The sequence below is a fragment of the Homo sapiens genome, chromosome 15 (genome assembly GCF_000001405.40).
Source record: "Homo sapiens chromosome 15, GRCh38.p14 Primary Assembly".
NCBI lineage: Eukaryota > Metazoa > Chordata > Mammalia > Primates > Hominidae > Homo > Homo sapiens.
Genome location: NC_000015.10, coordinates 95,848,294 through 95,865,046, shown reverse-complemented (window position 1 = coordinate 95,865,046; position 16,753 = coordinate 95,848,294). Strand labels below are relative to the sequence as shown.

At 35.9% G+C, this 16,753-nt stretch overlaps 1 annotated feature.

Annotated features, from left to right (window-relative positions):
- Positions 356-615: an enhancer, noted in NCBI's record as "active region_10138". NCBI's record gives its function as "activates an Ori minimal core promoter by ATAC-STARR-seq in GM12878 lymphoblastoid cells {active_cell/tissue: GM12878}" and the evidence as "EXISTENCE:reporter gene assay evidence [ECO:0000049][PMID:35858748]".

Below are 16,753 nucleotides of genomic sequence, written 5' to 3'. Positions count from 1 at the left end.
CCTGATCCAACTGGAATCTATAGGAAACATCCATTTGATTCTCTCTCTCTCTCTGCTCCTATTCTTTTTTTAATTTTTATTTTATTTTTAGTTTTTGAGACAGACTCTTGTTCTGTTTCCAAGCTGGAGTGCAGTGGCATGATCTCAGCTCACTGCAACCTCTGCCTCCTGGGTTCAAGTGATTCTCATGCCTCAGCCTCCCAAGTAGCTAGGATTACAGGCACACGCCACTGCACCTGGCTAATTTTTGTGTTTTTAGTAGAGACAGGGTTTTGCTGTGTTGGCCAGGCTGGTCTCCAACACCTGACGTCAAGTGATGCATCCACCCTGGCCAAAGTGCTGGGATGACAAGCATGAGCCACCGCACCTGGCCCTCTTAGTCTATTTTGAAACCACACTAGAGATAGAGAAACATGTGACATCTTTCAACTGTCTTCACCACATTTGCAAATTTTTTTCATCTTTTGTTTAGCTTTGTTTACTAACAGCTCTAAAGTCTGAAATTCTTTTCTGTTTCACTGCACTCACCACATTAAGCTTAATACTCTGAAAATACACACAGCTTTATGGAAATGTATCTGACACCTCTGTGTTCTCCCCACACTTCATTTACCTCTTTCTTTTGAAACTCTAGCAAAGAAACCCTTGCTAGGAAGTAGGAACCTGGGATGTTTAGCCAGAGGGTCTTTTAATTTTCTTCCCTTCCTTTTTCTTTCCTTCCCTTCCTTTTCTTCCTTTCTTCCCCCTCTTGTGCATCCCCCTTTTTTTTCTCTCTCTTTTAGGGAAAAAGTAGACAGTGATTTTTTTTCCTTTTTTTTTTTTTTTTTTGGCCTGAGATAGAGTCTTGCTCTTGTCACCCAGGCTGGAGTGCAATGGTGCGATCTCCACTCACTGCAACCTCTGCCTCCTGGGTTCAAGTGATTCTCCTGCCCCAGCCTCCCGAGTAGCTGGGATTATCTGCACCCGCCACCACACCAGGCTAATTTTTTTGTATTTTTAGCAGAGATGGGGTTTTACCACGTTGGTCAGACTGGTCTCAAACTCCTGACCTCAGGTGATCCACCCACTGTGGCCTCCCAAAGTGCTGGGATTACAGGCATGAGCCACTGTGCCCTGCCAACAGTGATCTTTTAACTTGAGCACTGGGGAGCCTGGATTTCTTGTTCATGGGCTCTCACTGATGAATATTATTTGTGCTTTTATTTATGGTTTTCTTAAGCTTAAGACTGTGATTTACATATCAACTGTGTGGCCAACTGCATCTGTGCCACTACTTGCAGTTCTTGCAGTGGGCATTGTGCCTATGGTATTGCTGGGGTTTTCTGCACCATGATATGCCTTTGTCTCTGCTTGTCTTGCACAGCTTCTCTGCCATCGTCAACTTTGAATGTTTTATTTAAATTCCATGTTTTTCCATTATCCTCTGCAGGAGCTTTCTTAAAGAAATACAATCGGATAAAAGTTAAAGAACTTCTTATTACGCTCCCAGTTAAACAGCTTCCGCACACCTTGGAAAGCTTTGCACCTTATAGCACTCAGGTGTGTTATGCTTTTAATTAAATGTGGTGTTTGCTGTCATTTCTGTAAGTCCTCAAGCAGTAGACCCTTGGACCGACACAGAATCCCATTAAAGCCTTGCTTCCATGGGAAAATCAGATTATCCTCACCTCCTTTTGAACTACAATGCCTTCCCCAGGAATATAATTCATGGTAAATATAAGGTCATCTTGTACATTTGGTAATAGCTGCTCCTTCCTCTTCAGTGGTTAAGGTTAAAATGCTGGGCTTGGTTCTTGGGGAGTGACTGCCCACGCCTACTGTTGGAAGTTCCTCCATTAGTCAGGTTTGCCCTGGCCACTCTGAGAAGATAGTGCTGGAAAAACTGCAGTCTTTCTCATCTTACCTCCCCGACGTCTGATCCTAGACTGACCTCTCAGAAAAGTGTTTGACCAACACTGTTCCAGCAGGTTTCCATCTGCATAATAGCCTGGTGATGTCTGGTAAGCACAAGCTGAGCGCACACCTTCTGGGGACTGATGAGATCTAGAATAACCAAGAGAACGTAGACCTGCATTTTCACTGATTCCATTGAACAGGCATGGCCCCAACACTCCGCTTCTGTCTGATACTCATAAGGCACGCTCCATTCTGAAGTTACCTTAGACGGCCAAACCTTTTATAAAGTTGCTGTCTACTTCCTCTGGGGCATATACAGTTAAAGATATTGAACTTCTCTCACTATTGTGTGCTAAGATTCAAGGATCAAAAAAGCAGTAAGACAGTGTATTTGCCCTAAAGAAGCCCATATACCTAAGTGGTACTTATAAAGGGGAGACAGACATAAACACAAGGATTTGTAATACAGTGAGAAAATAAAGTGAGAAAGGGCATGTAAAGTGTAACTCAGAATGTTCTCTAAAAGTCTGAACACAATAGGTGTCTTCTGGATGGACAAAATGAACCCCAGTGTCACCATCCTGTATCTCTGGGGTTAGTCAAAGGAAAATTCAGCTTGTAGGGTGGAGAGAAACTTTCTCTACTGTTAAACTGTATTATGAAAATGTACCCAGTGGTGACAATGACTTAATTGTCTAACTTAGTCATGGCCCCATGGATTATCGTGAGGCTGCGGAGGGGCCACTGGCTGCTCCTGTTCTAACCCCAAGTAGAAATTGGCAGAGCTGATGACCGTCTGGGGGTGCAAACCCAGGATGTACATATCTAGGCCATGGTTTAACCTGGGTAATCTCATTCTACATTCTTTTTAACCTAGATAGTGGTCCTGTAATACTTGTTACAGCCCTGGTTTATACAACTAAAAATAAGAAACTTTTTTTGTACTTTAGGGTCCATTTGACTCAACCATGTAAAATAAATTCTCACCTTATATTCACCCAATCTCCTAGGACTCTTTCTTTAGAGCCTGTCACCTATTGTAGCTGGCACTGTGTCTTACACATTTGGGGGCCTCACTTAATAACTGCCTAATGAATAGATAGATGAATGAATGGGTGAATACATTTATCGGTGCCAAATTTCCATGTTCTCATCTCTGTAAAAACCTATTGCGCGCCTGTTTCTCTTTTTAGTCTGTGGCTCTCTCACAACTTGTTAGCTAGTTATTTTCCATTCAAAGTCATGGGCAAGACATCTAGTCTTTAAAAACAGATTCAGCAAAATTTTTTTCTCCTCTTTGTCGAAATCTCAAAGAAAGAAGGAAGAGGAAGAGAAGAATCTAAATGTGGTGATTAAACTGTGGCTCTGTCCTTCGTTTGCCTTGAATATGCTTGTTTTCTTTCCTTCTCCTTCTGAGTAGACACATAAAGAATCACATTTGAGGGCTTTTTTTTTTTAAATATGGATGAGTAACATCTGTTTTAACCTGAACGATTCAATGTGTTTTTTAAGAATCATGTTTACAGAATTAATTTGGTTATAAATATGAGAACAAATTTAGGGTACAAATTTAACTCAATCTTTCCCTAAGGCAAGCTGATTCATAAAATCTGAAATATTGTTTTGGCCATGAAGTAATGTTTCCTCAAGCTTAATAAGTAAATGGAAGGAGAAAACCTAATAAAGCTCAAATCCCCAGCAGCTAAAAAGTTAACACCTTAGTGATGGAGAGCCAAAATAAGAATGGATGGAGTCGCGCCAGCACACAAGAGGTCCCAAACCTGCTAAACCTCTTTCTTAAAATTGGAACTCTTTTCTTTCAAGTTATTCAACCTTTCACCTAATAGGTCCCTTTTGCTGACCCTTGAACTATGGTTATTTGTATAGCATTGTGGTAATAGAGTTTGGAAATCTGAAAAACATTAAGTTAAATGCAAGGGTGTTGAGAAGGTGAAATTCTTTAAGTGAGCTGAAGAAATTCTAGCTGGAAGATTTAAACATGTTTCCCCATAGGAGTAAGGGATAAGAAAAATATTGTGCGTCTTTAGAAACATTATCAAAGTGTTTTAAGTAAATAAAAAGGAAGAATATTATTGACAACACAAATATGTGAAGAGTGAGGAAAAGTAACGTTCTCTTCAGCAGCTATTTTTAAAATTTTAAAAAAATAAAAACTTAGACCAATCAAAATTTTAATTGATATGAAATATATTGCCAATAACACCAATACTAAAAAAAAAGTTACTGTTTTTTCAAGTGACAATTCCCAATCTGTAACATGACTAAATGAGGAAGGCACAAGATTCCCAGAGAAGTTTTTTTTTCTTTGCGGGACTTAGTTTGATGGTGTTGTTTTATCATTTCTTCAAATGGGTTAAGGAGAAGAAAATGAGGACATGAAATTGTGACTTCTTTGAAATAATACTAAAAGTATGCAAGTGTCAGTTGTTTTGACTACCCCAAAATATCATGATCTAAAGTGAAAAAACTTGAGTCAAAGTGTCTTTTTATTTATAATATCATCATCATCATCATCATCATCATCATCATCATCATCTTCGTCATCATCATCATCTAGATTTTGGCCCTATCTTTCACATTTTTAGCTGTAGGTACCAGTGGTTTTGCTTCTGCCAGAATTTTGGTGCTGACTTTTCTGTATTATTTGTGATTGTTTAGAATTTAATATCTAGTTGACAAGAGAAGAGCTTCTAATTTTTTAGTTGGGAAATGGGGATTGGCAGATAACAAGGGTTAAAATCAACGAGTGTATTATAATCTTGAGTGACAGTAATAAAAGTGAATATTATAACACCTCTTGAAGGATCAGCTTTAGATATGGATTTCTGGAAAAATTTGAGAGATTGAAAAGTGTTTCTAAGCACGACAACCGTAACCACATCTCCCTCTCCGCTATCTTCATACCTACCTACCTTCTCACAGACTTGCTTTGTGCCTGCATTACGCAGTTCATTCATTTATTCATTCAACAAACATTTTTTGAGCATATATTTTATGACTGGTCCTGTGCAAAACCCCAGAAGGAAGATTGAAAGACAAAGACAAACCCCAGGAGGAAGATTGAAAGACAAAGCTCTCACATAATTTTGGATTAAGGCACTGAAGACTTTGGATAAATGCAAAATCTGATAGATAAAACACTGCTCACTCTAAGTAGTTTGGATCTGTATGGTTTTTTAGTAGCAATAACACTGAACCTGAAATGATGACACTTGGGTTTGAAGCCTACATTCTAGAGCTAGGTTGGTCACTGACTATCTGGTTAAGAACCTAGGATGGGCCAGTCCACTTCCCTCTCTCCCACACTCCAACCCAGTGATTGATTCTGGGCTCACCAAGTCTTACCTCTAAAAGGACGATTGGAAACACGAAGTCATTCTGGCTCTCCTTAACGCTGTCTTTCTCATAGTTGCATTCCCAGAATATCAAGTGTGAATCTCCAGTATAGTAAGGAGCGTACTAGGTGAGATATTTGCTAATGTATCATTTTCTCCCATGTTCTTCTCATCTTCCTGCCCCCAGCTTCTAATATAATGCCTGGAACATGGTATATGCCAATAAATATTTGAAGCAATGAGTGAAAGTAACAACTATAATAGAAAGGAACTCTAGAAACTGATAGAAACAATATGAATCCGGCAGTGATTATAATCTCACCTAAAGAATATGCATTATATACTTTGCATATTTTATTATATAACAGAAATATTCCGTGTTGGTGACATTTAATACGAGAGGCAGTTTTCTCCTGCCATATGGCAGTGTAAGCCTATCAGAGTACGTTTTACAGTTTGTTGGGGGACGTGTCAAATCAGAGAAGAACTAATGTATGCCCACCCAGTCACCACTGGCATATTCAGGAACAAATGTCTCCTTTCCAGGTTCCCACTGTACAGTTGATTCATTGACACATTATCAGTTGCCTTCATGACAACAAATAATCTAAAACTTGTTTGATCATTGTGTAAAACTCCCAGATCATTATGTCTACTGACATTAAACATCTAGGTCTCTTCAGGTATTGATTACATTACTGTTTCTACACGCGGAATTAGTTGAACCATTTTTACACATCCCTCCAGTGAGTTTATTTGGTTAAACAAGCAGGTATAAGTCATCTAAGAGATTAATTCATCCAGTGTGCTTTATATAATGTGTACCCAATAAATGTTTCTTGAATGTTTTTATTGAGTTAATGAATTTGGATAAACTCCTAAGTATGAGTGTCTGAATATTACAAATTCCGTGAGAAAGGGAGACTGGGTTGTCAACTGACTACAGAGAAACTCTTCAAAGAACAACCTCCATGCATCAGCATGGGGCAAACGGTTGTATGTTGAAGTGATGCGTGTGTTAATATAGCAACCCATGAATGTAGATATTAACCAAAAATATAGAATTAGAACCTCCTAACACTTTTTAGGTGTATGCATTACTTATGCAGATCTTTGCCTACTCTAAGAAGATACAGTCCTTGTCTTCATGTTTTCATTTATTTTATGAGCTTCTTTTTGGGTTGGATTTTGTAGGGCTGATCAAAGGAGAAATACTGTTTTGAACTCCACACAAACTTCATGAGTTAACACTTTTGAAAGAGAGGCATATCATATGCTCTGATAGTGTTAGTCAATACAAGCTGTAAAGGGAAACTTTTCAATAAATCATAGTGACTGACTGCAACATTTCTTAATGTATTTCTGTGATCCTTCTTAAGAAAAGTATATACATAGGCATGCAGTTATCAAATGCACACACTTTATTATTATTCAAAAAAATCTTTACTATCCACGTTATTTTCTTATACTTTTTGTTCAGATCAGGAAACAACATTGACTAGATTGATGTGTTTATTGTATTAGAATGATATTCAAGAAATGGAAATTTAAATGTTAACATGTTTATTGACAGTTGTACTTTAGTAAAAGGCATGCATGATTCTATTTATGGATTTATTGAGGGTAAATTAAGGGCAAGTATAGTTTTTCTTTCTTAGATGAAAAAAAGTTCAGCCTATGTTTTAAAGAACCAGCTGTCTACCCACTTTCCTCATGGGGTTTTAAAAATGTAGAACCAAAGAATTTCATTGATCCTATTTTGCATCCCCAAGGATTTGCTTCTCTCTGTCCTTTCCCAAGTGTTTGTCATTTCCCATGAAGCTATATCCAACTTTTAAGTACATAGAGTTCCTTTCTTGCTTAATCCCATCATGAGCCTAGAACTATTCTTAGCCAGAGTCAGGCTTTCTTGTAATGACTGATGTTATATTTTTCCCTGTAAATCAGTATCATTAGAGATTATGACCAAAATTATATCAAAGCATTCTACAGCTCACTGATCTTTAGAGGGCCAGTTCTTAGTTATAATTTTTTAAAGGAATCAATTCCAGTCCAAAACAGAATTATAACCTCCTCACCCCACCTCCTAGTTTTCTTATAGTATTTTTACCCTCATTTCAGTTTCATGGGTATGGAGTCTCAGAGATCCTCTTTCTTTTCTATATATCTCTTAGCCTCAGTGTTTACTTTGTCACTGATTCCTATCAATAAACCTTGGTCATTTGTTTTCGTTTGTCATATGCTTTTCCTTCCCACCGAGAAGGCTCAGGTTCAGATCCACCTGATGCTCTTCTGTTCACACTAATCTCTTAATTGAATTCTCAAGTCTTGCCCTTCTGTAGGCAGCTCTCCACACAGCTCCCTAAAATACAGCTTGGAAATTCTCATTTTTCCCAAGCACAATTCAAGAAACGCTTTGGATCCCACAACATAAATAACAAAAGCCACATTCTTAACTTTTGACCTCGTGACACAGTATGACTCCTGCATAAACCATCTGCACCTCCTTTTCCTGGTCCCTCACCCAGCACCAGTTCATTTTCCTTCTCTCATATGAATGGGGTTTGCTAAATGGTGGAGAATGGGAGATGCTTGTCCATAACCATCCCTCCTATGTGGAAGACTCCTTCAATAGAAAATTCAACTATAGGAAATATTAAGGGTTTTGGGGTCAGCAAGTCTAGATTTGAATCCCACGTCCTGTCCTCTTCGAGTCATACCAGTTTAAACACCTTAACTGGAAGATGGAGATAATCTAGCCTTTGACATATAAAATAGATGTCCATGTGAAAGTATGTGCTGGAAGAATGGGGACAATTATTAATGAGTATTATTTAGGTCATAATCAGGTTGAAAAGTTGTTTCCAGTTCTGTTCTTAACCCTGATGTGACAGTCTAAGCAGCTGTGTTCAATGGGCTGGGTCCAGTCACCTTAAGGCCAGTTCTTCAGAGAGGGTCAAAGCTTGTGTTTCGGCTTCCCTGAGGGCCCCCAGCTTAGCAAGAGTCTTGCTGGCAGGTGGAGTTGCCATGCCTGGCAATTGTTCTCACTGACAAATACCTTCTCATTAGTTTCTTCTAAATAGCATCTCACTTCAGATTTGCTCAAAAGAGCAGATCAAAGAAAGTGTGTGAACTTCGGCCTGGGTGTGAGATTGAAGAAGGAAGGGCAATGACAAAGTGAAACTCATTTTCCAAAGCGATTTTGTCAGGACTGAATACTTGTGAAAAAAGATCTTCTTCATTTTTTTTTATTTCCCTTCCATTCATTAAAGTCTGTGTTGCAACCTGACAAGAAACTAATGAAAAACTGAACAGGATAACTCTTTTTAATACTTCCTATGAATATAGGAAAATATCTTGAAATTAATCAAAGTAAGGTGAGTAATTTAATCAGAACACATAATAAATATGTAACTCTGGTTATGCTAAGAACCCATGGATAAATATATTAGTCTCCACTTACATCAAGTGAATAATAATATTAACAACAATAACAGTACTTGACACACCAGCACATTTGGTCCTCATGGCCACCCTACCCAAGAAATAGACCAGGAATCATGTTTTTAAAAACAAAGATGGCACTTTCCCCAAACATCAGTCTCTTCATTGTGGATTGAAAAAATAATTTTTGATTTACAGCAGCTACATACAAGAGTCCTGATTTTGAATAATTGCTTTCTTTTGAGTAAATCAATTTTAAAAAGCATATCAAATATGATGTTTTATAGACATATGTAACATTTTTATTATGGGGAAAATGTAAAGTAGTTCCTGTTCAAGGGAAAAGGTTTAGAAAATACACATTATGAAAATATGAGCTAAAAATGTTTGCTTACTACTCGTAGAACTCTTGTTCAATTATTGATGCATTTCCTTTTGTTGCATTTTCTGCTATATATTTGTGTATATATTTGAAATTATAGTTTTACATGACTCCTTTGATTCCATTTAATATCATAGCATGATGTATTATAATGTCTTTAATAATCTGTGAAAACAAGATTTTTGACAGCTTCTTGACATAGCATAATAATGTAATTAGCTAATCTTTTTGAAATGAAAATCTAGGTTTTTGACAAAAAAGTATTTTTACTATGATGAAGTTTTCCAGTTGTTTTCAACTTTAATTTACCTTTAATTAAAGAGGAAACTTTCTCAAAAGCACAACTATTATGTCAGAAGATATAAATGTTTCAACAACTTTTTACATATTTCCTCCAAGAACAGTTTTATTTAAACAAATTCATAATTCATAATCACTACAATATCTTCAGAAAGTGTCTTGAACAGATAGTGTATATACAGTTTTCATTCCAAAGTTACACGTATAGAAAAAGAAGCAAATAATTATTCAAATAAATGTATATGTTTGATCATCACTGCTGCCTGAGGACCCGGCACTCCTGTAAGTCATCCTGTATGTTATAATTATAACCCATACCAGAAGAGGAAAAACTAGACAACTTCCCTGGGGGATTAGTCGGCACATAGTTTGTACATTACCTCTAAAGAGGAAATTGAGTACCAGGTGAGGTCTGGGTGATATAATGCAGCTCAAGGGCCCTCATCTTTTATTCCCACGTCTTTCTTGGCCTCCCGGTGACCAAAGTGCCCCTCATCCTCCAAGCTCATCAGTTCCTTGGGACCTGCGTTGGATCCCCTTTTCTGTGCACTTTATCCTACTCATTACAGTGCATTCCACTTAGGAACTATTGGAGATCCATAATTTTGTCTGGTTCTATTTTTTAATACCAAGCTCAAACTGCCTGTCTGCATTAAAATGAGTGTTCAGGAAACTGTGTTAAATGAATGAATGTACTTTCTAAGTTATTAGTGAATGGAAAAATTTTAAATGACCAAACTGCATTGATGAAAATTTCTCAACTCTAGTAGAGCCCCTGATTATACTGTGTTTATCCTGAAAAGCCTTAATAGGCACAAAAAGGACTCAATATATTGCAATCATGCTTCCTTAGGTATCCATAGCATTTCTCCTTTTTCTCTATTTTTTTAAAAAATGAATGTTTTATTAATAAAGGTGGCGTTTTTAACTGCTAATGTCCTGCTTTTTCTGTTTTAATGAGAAAATGGAATATGTTGAAAAGGAAAGGTTTTAGGCACTTTTTCTGGTTAACAATAGAAAAGTATAGCTTGCTTTTTTATTTGTGTGTGAAGGATATTATTTAGGAAATCAGCTTAGTGTCCAGGAAGCCTTCTCATGAACACTATCTGGTAGGGTCACCATGGTTAAGTATTTGGTCGTCAGTTAAATTATTTTTTAATTAAAATTTTTCTTTTAAGTTAGTTATGCATTTACTTCTTTATTAAGTGGAAAAAAATAAAGTGAGTGCTTCATGAGACTGGCCAAGGGAAAAACACACAATAGTTTATCCTTTGCTTGGAGAGAGTGAGCGTAATATTAATTGAGAATAGTTTTAGATCTATAGAAAAATTCAAAAGATAGTGCAGAGAGCTCCCATGTATCCTGCCTCTATTTTCCCCTGTTATTCATGTTTTACATTAGTGTGATACACTTGTCACAATTAATAAGCCAATATTGATACATTATTATTAAGAAAAAGTATACATTATCAGATTTTATCCAATGTCCTTCTTATACCATATTACATTTAATTGTCATGTCTCTAGGCTTTTCATGGCTGGGACATTTTCTTAGATTTTCCTCTTTTCAATGACCTCGAAGATTTGAGAAGTACTTGTCAGATACTTTGTAGAATTCTCCTCAACTGAGATTTGCCTGATGTTATTCTTACTATTCCACTGGAATTATAGTTTTTAGAAGGAATACTACAGAGATGAAGTGCCATTCTCATCATGTCATATCAAAGATATCTGCTATCAACATGACTTGTCAGGTTTTTCCTCTGTATAATTGTTATTTTTCTCCTCTTTCTATTTTTCTCACTCTTTGGAAGACAATATTGTGCATAGCACAATAGTTCACACACTAAAGGTGTGAAGAGTTAGAATCCATCTCTTTGAGTGTGGATTCTTACGTACATTATTTGGAATTTTTTGCATAGGAAATTTGTATCTATCTAATTCCCACATCATTTGTTGAAAAAATTTTCCTTTCTCCATTGAATTTCCTTTGCAGCATTGTCAAAAGTCAGTTGACCATATTTGTATGGGTCTCTTTCTGGGCTGTCTATTCTGTTTTCATTGCTCTATGCATCTGTTCTTTCACCAATACCATGCTTGCTTGAATACTGCAGCAGCATTTATTAAGTTTTGAAATCTGATAGTGTGAGTCATCCAACTTTGTTTTTCTTTTTCAGAATTATGTTGGTTGTTGCAGGTCTTTTGCCTTTTCACAGAAAGTTTAGATGCAGGTTCTCAATATTTCTGTAATAGTCTGATGGAATTTTGATTGTTGATTGAGATTGTGTAGAATCCCTAAATCAAATTGGGAAGAATTTATATTATTGAATTAAATCTTCCAATCCATGAATATGTATTATCTATCCACATACTTAGATGTTCTTTGATTTCTTTCATCGTGTTTTGCTCTTCTCTATATATGGGCCTTGTATCATATTTTGTTAGTCTTGATTGCTTTTTTGTATTTGTGCTATTGTAAATTATATTTTTTATAAATTTCAAATTCCAATTGTTCAATGTTGATATGTAGAAAAGAAATTTAGTCTTATATATTGATCTTAGATCTTACGATCTTGCTATTCTTGCTTATTAGCTCCAAGAGATAGTGTTTTATGGATTTTTTTTTTTAGATTTGTTGGATTTTTCCACATAGATGATCCTGTCATCTGCAAATAAGACAGTTTTACTTGTTTATTTATTTATTTTTAATATTACTAAGTTTTTTTTTTTTGAGACAGAGTCTCGTTCTGTCACCCAGCGTGTGTTCATAGCTCATTGCAGTCTTGAACTCTTGAGCTCAAGGTATTATTCTGCCTCAGCCTCCTGAGATGCTAGGATAAGAGGTACATGCCACCATGCCCAGCTAAGTTTTCCTTTGTAAAATTTTGGTAGAGATAAAATTTTGCTATGCTGTCAAGGCTGGTCTCAAACTCCTGGTCTCAAGTGATCTTCTGCTTTGGACTCCGAAAGTGTTGGGATTACAAGCGTGAGCCACTACACCCAATTCCTTTCCTATTTTTATACTGTTCTTTTTTTCCCCCTTTTTCTTATTGCTGTAGCTAGGACTTCCAGTATAATATTGAACAGGAGGGGTGAGAGAGGACATACTTGCCATGCTCCTGATCTCAAAGGGGAAAATGTCTAGTCTTTTACCACTATGTATGATGTTAGTTCTGAATTTTTGTAGATTTAAAAAATCAAATTAGTTTTGCTAATCCTGTTTACTGTGAGTTTTTATCATGAATTTTGTTGGATTTTGTCAAATGCTTCCTCTGCATAAATTTATATGATCATATGATTTTCCTTCCTTAGCCTATTTATGTCATGAATTGATTTTCAAATGTTGAAAATCATTCAATACAGCCTTGCATTCCTAAAATACATCCCATTTGGTTGCAATGTATAATTATTTTATACATTGTTGAATTTAATTTGCTTATATATTCTTGATTTGTGCCCATTTCCATGAGAGATATTGGTCTGTCATTTTCCTATGCTGTACTGTCTTTCTCTGGTTTTGGGATTAGGATGATGGTAATTACCTAGTTAGGGTAATGCTGACATTAAAGAATAAAGTCGGGAGGTATTCCTTCTGCTTCTATTTTCTAGAAAGGATTGCGGATAATTGGTATTGTTTCCTTTTGAATATTATATAGAATTTGCCAGTAAAACCATTTGGGCCTGGTGCTTTTTCTTTGAGGCTATTAATTATTGATTGAATTTATTTAATAAATGTAGAGATATTCACACACTCCATTTATTTCTTTTAGTAGGAGATTTCACAGTTTGTGCCTTTCAGTGAATCAGTCTTGTCATCTAGGGTAGGAAATTTGTGAGCATAGATGTTCTCATTCTGTTCCTTTGTTAATCTTTTAATGCCCATATAATATGTAGTAATAATACCTCTTTCATTTCTGATATTGGTAATTAGTGTCATTTCTCTTTAGTTCTTGGTTAGCTTGGCTAGAGGTTTCTCTATTTATCAAACTTTTCAAAGAACCAACCAGTTCTTTATTCAGTTAATTTTCTTTTTCTTTTTCTGTTTTCATTTTCACTGATTTTTGTTACAAGTTTTATTTCTTTTCTTCTACTTGCTTAAATTGTTCTTCTTTCTCTAGTTTCCTAAAATGGAAGCTGAGGTTATTAACTTTTAGTATTTCTCCTTTTCTAATACATTCCTAATACATTGAATACTATAAATTTGCCTCATGCATTGCTTTTACTATACACAAACTTTGGTAAGTTGTATTTTTATTTTCATATAGTTTAAATAATGTTTTAGTTTCTCATGACTTCTTTTGACATATGGGTTTCTAAAAATCTATGGATTTGGTTTTGTGGTTTAATTCTCAAATACTGATTTCTATTGTTATTAATTCTACTTTAATTACATTGTGGCCTGAGAACATAGTTTGTATGATTTCTGTTCTTTTAAATTTGTTAATATGGGTCATCAGTTTTTTAAGCCAAAATTCATGTAGTATCAGTATTATACTCAGTTTCAGCTTCTAAGGTTTGAGTAACTCTAACCATACTTATAAAATGGCATATTAAACATAATGCCCAGTTATTGAATTAATAAAAATTGTAATAGCCAAGCAGATTGTCATTGCTGGCATTTGCCGCAGGAGGGCATTATAGAAAGTCAGTGTGGCTTGCTTAATGTGGAGATTGAGCCTAAAGACATGGCAGGGTACGCTCTGTGAATTGAGTCTCTAATATCAAGAAGCAAGGAAGCCATGATTGTATCTTTAGTCTTCTAACTCATCAGTGGGGAATGTTATGGGTTAGAGGATCAAAAATTCTGTGTAAGGACTTGAACTGATTTTGGAAGTTATAAATAATAATTTGGCCCTCAAGCTGTGAGCCTGGGATGTTCCTCACCCTAAAAAAAAATAAATGATTCTGGTACATTAGTAGGAGTCAGTGAGGATACCTTCCTCATAATAGATCAAGAGACATCTGATCCTGTATTTTTGTTTCACCTTTCTTCAGTTCTAGTTGATTATTACATTTTAATCATGTCTTCCTTGCCTCTGCCTTGTGCTCTTTCATGTGACTGGCAACTCAAACTTGCTGACTTTCCCTGAACACCTTTTGTGCCTCCACGCTTTTGTTTTATCTGTTCTACTGGGATATTATACACATCCTTGTGGGTTCAATTCTTACATCTTACTTAAGACATAAGTCAAATAATCCTCCAAGCTCCCACAAAAGTTGGTTAGCACCTATGTCATGACACATTCTATTTAATATCTTGTATATTTATCTGCATACTGCCTAATCTACTCTAGTAGAATGAAAACTCAGGTATATAGGTATTTAAAAGTCTTATTAGGTAAATAAGTAAATTAGGGCACTGTGTGATTATGATTTACTTAATAATAAGTGAACAGCTATGCGACGTAGTTAAATATACAGTTTAAAGTGTGATAGTCCTGTGTCTTCCTGATGGGATCAGTAATAACAGGATCAGAGTTGTGTCCAAGTTAGTTGATACTAAAGAAATAGTGGGTACAGATAAGACAAAATAAAATGAACCTGAGGGAGAAGGAGGAAAAGTTTTGACATGTGCTGATGGAGAGTTGAAGCTCAGGTTAGGACACCTGAATGAGAGGCCATTTGCCTAAGAGGAAAAAAAAAATCCTAACAGTAACATAGTAACGTTTTTAGCCAAGTGCAGTGGGGAGTACCGCTAATGACATTAACCTGTAAAAAGTTTGTGTTAAAGTGGTACATTTGGGAAAACTAGGGACACTATCCTTCAGGGAATGCATTTTTAGTAAACTGACCTAAAGCCATTGTCCTTTCAGTGATCTAATAGTGAAACCATTTTGATGGCAACAAATGGCTTATTAGGCTGGAGAAACTTTATTTCCTGAGACTTTTCTTCTCCAGAGGTGATATGAAGAAGAATGCCAAGTTGGCTTCAATCGGCTCTTTAAGATAAAAAAGATGGAGACATGATCAGATCTTTATTTTAATACACTGAAATAAGGAAGTCTCTTAGAGTTAGAATAGAAATCCTAAGGATGTGAGCTAATTGTGGAAATCTTAAATGGTAATTAAGTCCTCACATTGTGGCTCTGGAAAGTTCAGCCAAATATAAGGGGATGACTTATATACAGCCTGTACCCAGCAAAATAATACATCTTCCTACAGTCATGGTTATGCAATTGATCTCTGTGCAGTTATTTAGAGGAGTGGATTTCAAACTTAGCTGATCACAAATCACCTGCTTAAAAATAGGCAAAGAGGTTGAATGGGTATTTCTCAAAAGAAGACATACTCATGATCAACAAATACAAGAAAAAGTGCTCAACATCACTACTCATCAGATTATCTAAGTGCACATTAAAAGCAGGGTGAGACGCCACCTCATTCCAGTTCAAATAGCTATTATAAAAAAGATGAAAGATAACAAGTGTTGGAGAGAATGTGGAGAAAAGGGAACACTTATATACTGTTGGTGGGAATGTAAGTTACTATAGTCATTACAGAAAACGGTTTGGAGGTTCTGAAAAAATTAAAAGTAGAACTACTGTATGATCCAATAATCTTACTTCTGGGTAAATATCTAAAGGATATGAAATCAGTATGTTGAAGAGATATCAGCACCCCATGTTTATTGCAGCAGTATTTACAACAGCCAAGATCATGGAATCAACGTAAGTATCTATCAGTGAATGAACGGTTGAAGAAAATGTGACATATAACCACAGTGAAATGTTACCCAGTCATGAGAAAAAATAAAATCCTGTCATTGTCAACAACATGGATGGAACTGGAGGACATTGTGTTAAGGGAAATAAGCCAGGCAAAGAAAGACAAATACTGCATGATCTCACTTCTAGGTGGAATCTAAAAAAGTGTAACTTCGAAGCAGAGAATAGAATGGTGATTACCAGGGGCTGGGATGGGGGTGGTAGGAGATTGGAGATATATTTGGTCAGAAAGACACAAAATTTCAGTTAGATAGGAGGAATAATTTCAAGAGATATATTGTAGAGCATGTTGACTGTAGTTAATAATGTACCATATTGCGTTTTTTGAAAAACAGTAAATTTTAAGTGTTCTCACCACAAAAAATAAGCAAGTAAGATAACACATATGTTAATTACCTAGGTTTAGCCATTCCACAGGTATACATATTTCAAAACCTCTTTTTGCACACCATTAATGTGTGCTTTAGTATAATTAATAAATTAATTTCAAAAAGAATCACCTGGATAATGTATAAAGTACATAAATTCTCTAGAAAAATCCACAGATATAATTATTTAATAAAAATGGGATCTGGCCCAGAAATATGCATGTTTTAGAAATGAGCAAGTGTTTCTGATGATCAGCCAAGTTTGAGAAGTCCTGAGTTAGAT